The sequence below is a fragment of the Homo sapiens genome, chromosome 18 (assembly GCF_000001405.40).
Source record: "Homo sapiens chromosome 18, GRCh38.p14 Primary Assembly".
Taxonomy (NCBI): Eukaryota; Metazoa; Chordata; class Mammalia; order Primates; family Hominidae; genus Homo; species Homo sapiens.
The window spans coordinates 79,259,693-79,272,273 of NC_000018.10; the positions used below are offsets into that span (position 1 = coordinate 79,259,693).

The following is a 12,581-nucleotide window of genomic DNA, read 5'->3' on the forward strand; positions in this document are numbered from 1 at the left end:
GCACACCCCCAGATGGAAGACCAAAAGTGTCAGGCAGCACAGGCACAGCAGTCATTGCTCCTGGATTTAGGAGAGAACTTTTCTGAAGGAAAACTTTTAAGAGCTTTATCAGGTTACTTTTCGGTTAGGTACCCTTTCTGTGACATTTTACAGGTTTTTGCTAATTTACCAAACATCTTTAGTAAGACCTCATTTTCCAGGTAGAATGCTTGGTGAAAAGAGTGTTTTCAACTTCTTTAGACCTAGATTTGATATTCAGGTATTGATGATTTGGAAAATTTGGAGCCTATCCAGATCACATAAAATGCTAATATTGGGAGATTCACTGTTTGGAAAGCATTCACCAAGGGTGTGTCCAGGTGGCGTTTTGCTCTTTGAAGAGATAGATTAGGGGCAGGTGTTAGTCCGTTCTCACCCTGCTGTGAAGATACTATACTAGACTGGGTAATTGATGAACAAAGGAGGTTGAATTGACTCACAGTTCTGCATGGCTAAGGAGGCCCCAGGAAACTTGCAATCATGGCGGAAGGGGAAGTAGTCACCTTCACAAGTCACCTTCACAAGGCAGCAGGAGAAAGTGTGAGCATGTGAAGGAGGAACCATCCCACACTCATCAAACCATCAGAACGCATGAGAACTCACTCATTATCACGAGAACAGCATGGAGGAAACCGCCCCCATGATCCAGTCACCCATCTCCCTCTACACACGGGGAGTACAATTCGAGATGAGATTCGGGTGGGGACACAGAGCCAGACCATTTCAGGGGCTGACTAAAGGATCTACTCAGCAACTCTGCAGAAACCAGGAGTAGAGATGGGTTATCCAAGAAGGATCTGTGTTGGAGTCTGTTTTCTGATAGTGTGGACTCTCAGGATATGCACAGGAGACCCATCATGTTTTATCAGCAGAAACTACCAGCTTGACCTAAAGGAACAGAGACAGGATGAGATGAGAGAAGCCTGTTGGACTCCCAGAATCTTACAGGCAGGAAACAGCTTGATAGAGCTACTGGCTGCAAGCATGTGCTCCCTTTCAGAAAGAGGAAGAATGACCCCAAGGTCAAAATTGGCATGAGCAGTGCAGAGGCCATGGAGCTGCCAGCCTAAGGGCAGAGCACTGAGACACAGTTCTTCTATTATTCTCAGCTCTCGAAACTTAACAGTTTGCCTTGCTGAATTTCAAACTTGCTTGGGATCAGTGATCTTGTATTCCTTCCAGTTTCTCCCATTTGGAATGGAAATACCTATTTATCCTTGTCCCACCACTGTATTTTGGGAGCAGATAGCTTGTTTTCTAGTTTCACAGGGTCCACAGGTGGAGAGGAACTTAGGTCCCAGCATGGACCATGGCCAGTGTCTCACCCGTGCCAAATTTAGATGGTTTAGATGATGAGATCTGGGGCCTTTGAGCAGATGCTGTTTGGATGAAATTTTGGACTTAATGTTGATGCTATAATAGGCCGAGACATTAGGGATATTGGGATGGGGTAAATGTATTCTGCATTTGGGACCAGTGTAAATTTGCGAGTGCTAGAGGGTGGACTCCCATGCATGCCGTGATGGCCCCCAGAACATGTGCCCATATGAAATCTGTGAGTGGGACCTTACTTGAGAAAAGAGTCTTTGCAGTTATAATTAAGATAATGATCTCTAAACGAGACCATCCTGAATTAGAGTAGGCCCTCATTGCAGTGAATGTCCTTGTAATCAAAGGAGTGGGAATACGCCAAGGAGAAGGTGAGGTGAAGACAGTGGCAGAAACTGGAATGATTCCTCTACGAGCCAGGGCACGCCAAGGACTGTGAGCAGATCCAGAGCTGGAGAGAGGCAGAGCAGCCCACCTCCACCCTCCACACCCCACCACCCCCGACCAGTCCAGGAGGAAACAGCTCTGCCTGCACCTTCCAGATGGTGAGAAAATAAAATTCTGTTGCTTTAAGACATCTAGTGATGGCATCTTTAAGAAACCAGTACACCACATAGAGTCATTTTTTACAAAATGCTTCATCCCCTGCTCTTGGCAAGGTAGCGTCAGGAAGGGTGAGATGCTGCAGTGCTCCATGGCTACTGTTTTGCTTGTAAGAAACAGTTCAGTTTCCCGATATTCAGGAATGTTTCCTCTCTGCCTGTTGTTGCTCGAGCGTTGTGGGAGGATGTCTCCTTGTCCTACTAAGTGTCCTGCTAAGCTCCCACTTTATAATAGGCAGCTCAGCCTTCTGCCTGCTGAACACTTGGTTGAATGTGTAACAGTTCTTCATTTACTCACCATCCGAGTATGTGCTTTTGGGAGGTGTTGTGATGGGCCATTCAGCTCAGTACACGCCCCACGCTGCTGTGTGTGAGGGTGCAGGGATGAATGGCGTGTACCCTCGGGGCCCTGCAGCTCAGTCCTCAGCGTCTTCATCTGGACACCCCGCTCCCCTCCCTCCCTCCCTCCCCTTTCCTTGCTTTTTCTCTCCATAGAAGTAAAAATTATCTGAAACTTTAATTCCTCCTCCTCTCCCCACAACCTAGCCCTCAACAAAAGCCAAAAACCATTCCCTAAACATTCAAGTTTGTTTAGAATTTTTTTTAAATATATTTTTCTTTAGGAAAAAAAATACTTTTCTATAATTTATGTTACGTTTTTAGTTACTGAGCATGGCTAATTCATGAACTCTCATCACTAGTTTTATCTAAAGTTTATATAAAGTTGAAATAAAACAAAGTTTTATTTTATATATACAAACCTTATTGCCTCTAATTGTGGAAATAGTGCTGGGGAACAGAGAAGTCATTTGATAGAAAAAGGGCATAGTTTAGAAGTAATTTTGGCTAAAGAGCCCCTTTTTCTGGTTCACTTATTTGAACTCAGAAAATTCAGAGTTCTGAATTTGGGGAAACAATTTGAAACATTTCTATGATGAAGCATGTTTTCCAGATTTTAAGGTCAGTGGAGATGCTGTGACAGGAAACCTGGTTAATACTGCTTTTGTAATACCACAGTCCATCCCCTTTACGTGGTACATATGCCAGGGATTCCATACATGAACCCTGAGGGTCCAGCGTGGCTGCAAAAACCATCTAGCACTTAGCACCCGTATCTTCACCCAGTTTCAGAGTTAAGGTGCCATACACGCTTAAGATGTTTCCTTTTATACTTTTTCTGTATAAATCTCTTATTAGTTATAGCATGAATTATGTGCCAGTTTTTATATTGGCTTAGAAAATATATTTTTGCACAATTCATTTCATTTCTTTTGAAATAATCACTGTCTTGGCTTTAAAAAAATTATAGTTAACAAATTTATTTTAATCTATCAAAAAAGTTATTACTTCTTGTTGCACAAGCTACTTCAGCAGCCTTTGAGCATTGTTTTATTTTGTAATGTGTGGGCTTTACAATTTTTATTTCATTTTTAATAGACATATATATTTATGAGATACAATGTAATGTTTTGGTATATGTATACAATGCTGCTTTTATGGTTAACTTCTTGCTTTTCCTAAAGGTTTGCCACCTAAAAATTGCATATATAAATATATGCAGTCATCTCTTGGTTCCCATGGGGGATTGGTTCCAGCACCCTCCATGGATACCAGAACGCATGTGTACCCAAGTCCCACAGTGGGCCCTGCAAAACCTACCCGTGGGACAAGTGGACCCTCCATGTCTGCGGGGTTCGCCTCCCAGGAATACTGTGTTTTGATGCATGTTTGGTTGCAGGTGCAGAGCCCTCAGATACGGAGGGTTGACTTGACTTACTAAAAAGAGTCCATATCTGAGAGGACTTGCACAGTTCAAACCTGTGTTGTTTGAGGGTCAGCTGTGAATTAGTTTTTCCTGTTTTGCTAGTTTCTATAATTGAAATCATACTGGATGTTTTCTTTTTGTCTTATTCCTTTTGTTTTACATGGCTGTGTACAGGACGTTGTGTTGTCTTCTTCTCATTTCTTGCAGCTTGTCATTCTCTTGCATGAGCACACTCCAGTGTATTCAGTGATCCTTTCTGCTGTTTTGGGGTTTGGGTTGCTTCCAGTTTTTTTACAGTGAGCAGCAGTGCTGCTATTAACATTTCATGATGTGTACTCCACACGTTAGCACCCTGGTATAAGATATCTAAGAGCAGGCCGGGCGCGTTGGCTCACGCCTGTAATCCCAGCACTTTGGGAGGCCGAGGCGGGTGGATCACGAGGTCAGGAGATCGAGACCATCCTGGCTAACACGGTGAAACCCTGTCTCTACTAAAAAATACAAAAAATTAGCCGGGCGTGGTAGCGGGTGCCTGTAGTCCCAGCTGCTCGGGAGGCTGAGGCAGGAGAATGGCGTCAACCCGGAAGGCGGAGGTTGCAGTGAGCCGAGATCGCGCCACTGCACTCCAGCCCAGGCGACAGTGTAAGACTCTGTCTCAAAAAAAAGAAAAGGAAAAAAAAACATATCTAGGAGCAGCACTACTTGGCTGTGTTATTTGTCAAATTTACCAGATAATGTTTAACTGTTTTTCAAAGTGTTTGTACCAATTTACCATTCCAACATCAGTGTGGAGAATAGTTCACATCCTCAGCAACACTTAATATAAGTGGGCTTCTCATTGCAGTTTTAATGATCATTTCCCAGATTGATAATGAGACTAAACAATTATGCACATATATATTAGCTATTTAGATTTTCTCTTTTGTGAACTTTCTAAGTCTTTTGTCTGGTGTTCTGAGCAGCTTGCAGTTATTTATATATTTTAGATGCCAAGGCTTTCTCGGCTTATGTTTTGCTGATATCTTTCTCAATCTGTAGTTTGACTTTTTACTCACCCATTGGTGAAATTATGAAAAAACAGTTATTGATTTTACATGCCAAATATATGAGGTTTTTTTTTTGTTGGTTATCACTTTTTATGTTGTTTAAAAAATCCTTCCCTACTCCAAGGAGATGAAACTCTCCTCTTACATTATCTTCTAGAAGCTTAACTGTTTTTCCTTTGACCACTGTAAGTGTTTTTTGTTTTTTTTTTTGATATATATGGTGTGAAGTACAGTTTTTAAATACCATATTTCTGCAAACCAATTGTCTCAGCACCAGTTATAGAAAAGACTTTTCCCAGTGACCTAGTGCCCCGTCTGCCATGTACCAAGCATTTGTATACACATGGGCCTGTTTTGGTTACCTGTTCTGTTCCCTTGGACTGTTTTTGTATTCTCGCCAAATAACAAACTGTGTTTGTTAACAGACTTTTATAATAGTTCGATGTTTGATAGAACAAGTCTATCCTCATGTGCAGGTTTGTGATATAGGCAGACTTGTGTCATGGGGGTTTGTTGTACAGATTATTTCATCACCCAGGTATTAAGCCTAGTACTCATTAATTATTTTTGCTGATACTCTCCCTCCTCCCACCCTCCAGCCTCCGACAGGCCCCAGTGTGCGTTGTTCTCTTCTGTGTGTTCTCACATTTAGTGTGTTCTCACCATTTAGCTCCCAGTTTTAAGTGAGGACATGTGGTATTTGGTTTTCTGTTTCTGCGATAGTTTGCTAAGGATAATGGCCTCCAGTTCCATCCATGTTCCTGCGAAGGACATGATCTCATTCTTTTTTATGGCTGTATAGTATTCCATGATGTAGATGTACCACATTTTCTTTATCCAGTCTGTCATTGATGGGCATTTAGGTTTATTCCTTGTTGGTTGGGCTGGTCTCAAACTCCTGACCTCCTGATCTGCCCGCCTCGGCCTCCCAAAGTTCTGGGATTACAAGCGTGAGCCACCACGCCTGGCCCGATGTTGAGCTTTTTTTCATATGATTGTTGGCTGCATGTTTGTCTTCTTTTGAAAAGTGTCTTTTTGTCCTTTGCCTACTTTTTAGTGGGGTTGTTAGTTTTTTTCTTGTAAATTTGTTTAAGTCCCGTTTAGGTGCTGGATATTAAACCTTTGTCAGATCTGTAGTTTGCAAAAAAATTTTCTCCCACTCTGTAGGTTGTCTGTTCACTCTGCTGTTAAGTTTTTTTTTTGATGTGCAGAGATTCTTCAGTTTATTGAGATCTCATTTGTCAATTTTTGCTTTTGTTGCAGTTGCTTTTGGTATCTTCATCATAAAATCTTCACCCATGCCTGTGTCCTTGATGTCTCCATCATAAAATCTTCACCCATGCCTGTGTGCTTAATGTCATTGCCTAGGTTGTCTTCCAGGATTTCTATAGTTTGAGTTTTTGCATTTAAGTCTTTAATTCATCTTGAGTTTGTTTTTGTATATGGTGTAAAGAAGGGGTCCGGTTTCTCTCTTCTGCAAATGGCCAGCCAGTTATCTCAGCACCATTTATTGAATAGGGAGTCCTTTTCTCATTGCTTGTTTTTGTCAGGTTTGTGGAAGATCAGATGGTTGTAAGTGTGCAGTCTTAGTTCTGGGTTCTCTATTCTGTTTCATTCATCCTTGTGTTCTTTAAAGAGTGTTTTAGGTCTTCTTGGCCATGAATATGGTGTATCTCTCAATTTTTTTTAGGTCTTCTCTAAAATAAGTCTTCTCAAATTTTGTTAGAGCAGTTCTTAGATACTTGGGATTTTTAAAATGATGTCGTAAATATCGTTCTTAAAGGAACCATTTCCTCTCTTTTTGCTGATGTAAAGAAATAAAATTAATTTTTATAAAATTATTGACTATCAATCTTGGTAAAAATCCTATTGATTTTATTTATTAATCTAGGTGTATTAAATTTTTTCTATATATAATCATATCATCAGTAAATAATAACAGCTTTTTTTTGTTCAGTTCTTTGCACCATTTATTTCTTTTCCTTGTTTCTGCAGCAAAGATCTTCAGTATGTTGTTAAAGAAAAGTGATTATAATAAACATTCTTCTTTTGTTCCCATCCTCAAAGGCAAAACTTTCAACACTTTGTCATTTAAGTATGCTATAAGTTTGTTTATAGAAGCCTTTTAATGCCTTAAGGACATTTTTCTGTTCCTATTTTGCTAAAAGTTGTTTTAAATCATGAATGTATTTTAGGAAATATTTTTCTAAATCTATTGAGGATTTTTCATCTTTAAATTTTTCTTCTTTAATGTATTAACACGGTAAATGATATTGATTGACTTTCTAGTGTCATACCAACCTTGTATTTCTGGGGGCAAAACCCCAACATAATGATGGTATGTTAGTATTTTGTTTATTATTAGATTCCATTTACTTGTATTTTCTGTGAGATTTTTACATTGATTTACAGGAGTGAAATTGACATGTAATTTTTAATTTTCATACCATTTTTGTGGAGTTTGGTATCTGGATTATGCTAGTCTCATAAAAATATTTTTTTTTCTCATTTTCTTTCTCTAAAATAATTTATCTAAAATTGGAATTGTTTATTTCCTGAACATTTACATAAGAAGAAGGCCATGTGAGCCTCAACTTTTTACTGTGGAACATTTTTGACACATTGATTTAGTTATGGGACTATTCAAGTTTTTAATTTCTTGAGTCAGTTTTGCAAAGTTATAGTTTTCAATTCGTAATCAAGTATTTAAATTTTCAGTTTTATTTACAACAGTTTGTTCATATTTTCCTGTTATCCCTGACATACATAGGATCTGTGATATGAACCTTTTTAATTCTTCATACTTGTTATTTCTGCCCTTTTTGCTTTCTTTTTTTTCCTGACCACTCTTCCAATAGGTTTGCCAGCTTTCATTTCTTATGGAAATACCTACTCTTGTCTTTATGTATTCTTTGAGCTGTGTATTATTTTCCTATTTCATTAATGTTTTCTTACTTATCTATTTCCTCCTTGATTAGTTTTCACCTTCTGCCCCCTTTGTGAATATATGTATTGGAGGCTATAAATTTTTCTGTAAGTACTACTTTGGTTGCATTTCAAAAGTTTTCATATGTAGTATTTTTGTTATTGTTAAGTACAGAATATTTTAATTTCGACGTGATTTCATCTTTGACCCATGCTTATTACAAACTTATTTCTTATCTTAATTTATAAGCATAGTTGAGAAATTTCTAATACATCTTTGTTCATTTTTAGTTTGATTGTATTTTTCTCAGAGAACATACCTTTTTAACTTCAGATCTATGAAATGTGTTGAGACTTGTTCTAGGGTCCAATATTTAGTCCATTTTTATAAACATTCTGTGTGTGCTTCAAAACAACTTGCATTCCCAATTGTTGGTCACAGGATCTCATCTGTGTGATCAGATCTAGATTCTTAATCTTGTTTTTCAGTTTCTGTCTACCACAAGGGTTTTTCTCTTTCATAAAAGTTGCTGAAATTTGTCAAAATCTCTCATCATTATTGTGACTTTGTCTATTTTTCCTTGGAATTCTGTTTATTTTTAGTATTTTATGTTTTGTGGCTTTGATATTGGATGCATACAAATTTAAATTGTTGTCTATATTCCTACTGGATTAAGCAGTTTCTCATTATAAAGGGACTTTCTTTATCTCTACTAAAGCTTTTTGCATTAAATTCTACTTTGTTTTGTGTTAATGTAGCAATGCCAGCTGTCTTTAATTTCTTTGGCATATCTTTTTCCATCTTTTTACTTCCAACTTCTCTGTATATTTATTTTTATGTGTCTCTTGTAATTAGCGTACATCTTGTATTAGCATGCCATCTTGTAATTGGTTTAATTTTTATCTAAATTTGATAATTTTTGACTAGAGTATTGCATATTCAATTATTATAATACTGTTTATATTTTTAGTTTAAATCTGCTGTTTTATTTTGTGCTTTTAATATGACTTACCTGTTCAATATTTTTCTCCTTTCTTGCCATTTTATTATTTTTTTGTAATGCAACTTTTTTCTCCAGCAGTTTAGAAGTTATGTAAGTGGTTTCTGTTCTTTTAGTAGTTACCCTAGAAGTTAAAAACCTTCTTAACTTATCAGAGTTAAAAGTCAGTTCCCTTAAGCATTTAACTTAATTTGCTCCCTTCTGGACTTACACCATTTTTGTCATTTATTTTAATTCTAGTTGTTCTTAAACCCCAAAGAAAACCCTGGTTATTCTTAAACCTAACAATATCACTGATTTTGTTTATACATTCTCCATCATTTTGGTTTATCCACGTTTCGGTTCGTAATGTCTTCTTGCATCTTAGAGTAGAGTAATTTGCCTTCTGTTAGAAATGTGTTCGCTTTTTGTGCTTTTGATGCTGGTCTGTTCTGAACTCTCAATTCTTGCTTGGCCATCCTTCTTGGAAAATAGTTTCATTGGGTATAGAATTCTAGGCTGTCACCTTTCTTTTTTGTCTTCTGTTACTGCTTTTAAGACTTCACTTCTTTGGGTCCTTCCATCTCTTCCAGCCGCTTTTCTATCCTCTCCTCATTGGTGGCATTGTACGCTCTACCCTACATAATGTGTTGAGGTACGATGTTTCTTTTTAAACAGTACTTAGGATTTGTTGGGCTTCTTGACTCTAGATTCTTTTATTCATTCTAGAAAGTCCGCCATCATCTCTTCAGATGCTGCCCCGTCCCCACCTGTCGCGTCCTGCTCTGGGACATGGGGTCAGGGCTTGGTCGATGTCCTCACTGTGTCCCCACGCGGGACATGAGGTCAGGGCTTGGTCACTGTCCTCGCCACACCTTTGTTTCCGCTGCTCTCGCTGCTGCACTTTCTGCTTTTTTTGCTTGCATGCTTCATTTTGTATCATCCTCACTGACCTGTCCAACAAGTACTCATTCTTTGACTGTGTGTAATCAGCTGTTAAACTAAGGAATTTCTTAATTTTAATTATTGATATTTCTTAGTTCTAAAAATTCTGGTTGGTTTCTTTATCACATTGATTATTTCATTTTTAAAGTTGCCTATTCCACACAAACATTTAAAAAAAATTTTTATGTATCCGTTTGTTTTATAATCTGTATCAATATCAGATACCTTTGTCAATCTTTTTATGTTGTATTTTGGTCTTCTGGCTCTTGCTTCTGGTGTCTTGTTTTGCTCTGTGTTATGTGGTAGTGTTTGTTGTTACGGTGTTTTTGGTAATTGTATTTGAAAAACTAATTATAGGAATCATTTGGGAACAAAGATGGAGGTTCATTTCCTAAGACATACACACTTGCTTCTGCTGTGTACTTGGAGATACCCTCTGTCTTGGAGCATCTTCATTCAAGATTCCAAGTCACTGGAAATGTGTTCAGGAAATGTGAACCTGACTTCAGCTCCACAAGCAGGCTCACTGGCCTGCGCCTGCTGGCCCTGCCTTCCCTGAGGCGCATCCTTGCCTCCATAGTTTTACTGAGGTTAGTGTTACCATTGGATAGAAAACTAAGCTTTTCTAACCTTGAAAAGCTCCTGCTTATCCTCCTTGCGGCCTTTAGCCGGCTCCTGTTTGCCTGGTCAGCTTTGTTACTAGCACTTAACATAATCACTGCCCGCTTGGTTCTGGGGGACTTGCCGCTTGTCTTTGCCATTCCTTTCTTCTTAGCCTTTTGGAGACATTTTGTTTTAAGGTGTAGCTCTTAAATTGCATAAATCAGTATTTATTTATTTTTAAACTAAAAGTGCTAGCCTTTAATAGGAATATTTCTTCCTTTCACAATCCTGGCATAGGTGTTCAGCCTTGCTCCTGCATTCTTGCGCGTTCATTTATATTTATATGCACACATTCATCTATTCTATGTGGCAGCTCTGTGTGTGTGTGTGTGTCTGTGTGTGTGTGTACACTGTGTATATGTTTGTACTGCTATACAGAATGTATTTTACTTTAAAATTTTTAAATTATTTGAAAATTGCAAAACTCTCTTAAAATTTGCCACTGCTTGACTTTATCCAATACATATTTAAACCTTGATTTCAAATATCAAAGTCAAGAACCAAACAATAACGTGTGACTCCTCTTAAATATGAGGATTTTAATCTTCATTTATTCTTTTTTTCTCCTTTGTACTTCCTAGTATTTGATCATTTAATCTGTACCTGCAAACCCTAATTTTATAGTTATTTCCTTTTAATATGGAAATCTTAACTTTCAACCAGCAATGATGGCTCTCCTTTGAGGTTGGCGCCCATGTTTGCTTAACAACATGGAGTCATTAATCTCGGTGCTCACCTTTCCCCATTCCTGAGTTTCCAATTTTGATTCATTCTCAACCAACCAGAGTACTTTTCAAACAGTGTTCTTGAGCTTGCCTGGGGAATGAAGCCCCATTTGTCCCCAGAGTTCAGGCACAGGCCCCTCTGTGTATTTCACAGTGACTTCCCACATGAAAGTCGGAAGAGTCCTGAGTGTGAGGGAAGCCCTGAAGCACTGTTTCCCAGTTGCCACAGCACCTGGTCCTGGGGGCCACTGTCAGTCTAAGCAGAAGGCCGGGAGTTGGCTGCACTGAAGACCAGCCCCTGTGAGCTGCATGTGCAGCAGGGAATGTCTTTTGCTTGCCACTTGTCTCTGGTCTTTCTTTGATTCAGCTCATCTTCAAAGCTGGTACTCAGCTTACTCTTCCGAAAACACCACTTTATTGCAAATCTCCAATCATCCCACACCCACTCAGAAACATTATAATGGGATTTAGAATTTTGCTTACACCAGTTTAAATGACTTTCTGTAATACTTTGCTGTATTTTCTTTATTATTATTATTATTATACTTTAAGTTTTAGGGTACATGTGCACAACGTGCAGGTTTGTTACATATGTATACATGTGTCATGTTGGTGTGCTGCACCCATTAACTTGTCATTTACATTAGGTATATCTCCTAATGCTATCCCTCCCCCAGGCCCCCCACCCCACAACAGGCCCCGGTGTGTGATGTTCCCCTTCCTGTGTCCATGTGTTCTCATTGTTCAGTTCCCACCTATGAGTGAGAACATGCGGTGTTTGGTTTTTTGTCTTTGTGATAGTTTGCTGAGAATGATGGTTTCCAGCTTCATCCATGTCCCTACAAAGGACATGAACTCATCATTTTTTATGGCTGCATAGTATTCCATGGTGTATATGTGCCACATTTTCTTAATCCAGTCTATCACTGATGGACATTTGGGTTGGTTCCAAGTCTTTGCTATTGTGAATAGTGCCGCAATAAACATACGTGTGCATTTGTCTTTATAGCAGCATGATTTATAATCCTTTGGGTATATACCCAGTAATGGGATGGCTGGGTCAAATGGTATTTCTAGTTCTAGATCCCTGAGGAATCACCACACTGACTTCCACAATGGTTGAACTAGTTTACAGTCCCACCAACAGTGTAAAAGTGTTCCTATTTCTCCACATCCTCTCCAGCACCTGTTGTTTCCTGACTTTCTAATGATTGCCATTCTAACTGGTGTGAGATGGTATCTCATTGTGGTTTTGATTTGCATTTCTCTGATGACCAGTGATGATGAGCATTTTTTTGTGTGTCTTTTGGCTGCATAAATGTCTTCTTTTGAGAAGTGCTTGTTCATATCCTTCACCCACTTGTTGATGGGGTTGTTTTTTTCTTGTAAGTTTGTTTGAGTTCATTGTAGATTCTGGATATTAGCCCTTTGTCAGATGAGTAGATTGCAAAAATGTTCTCCCATTCTGTAGGTTTCCTGTTCACTCTGCTGTATTTTCTGTGTCTTAGGACCCAAGACTACATTTGTTTGTCCTTACATCTTGTGCAATGGATGCAGATCAA

The 12,581-nt window shown here is 38.7% G+C and overlaps 1 protein-coding gene across 36 annotated transcripts in view; it reads left to right on the forward strand.

Moving 5' to 3' along the window:
* ATP9B (ATPase phospholipid transporting 9B (putative)) overlaps positions 1-12,581 on the forward strand; it is a 308,890-nt gene that overhangs the window by 190,299 nt on the left and 106,010 nt on the right. The gene's annotated exons all lie outside the window — the stretch shown is intronic.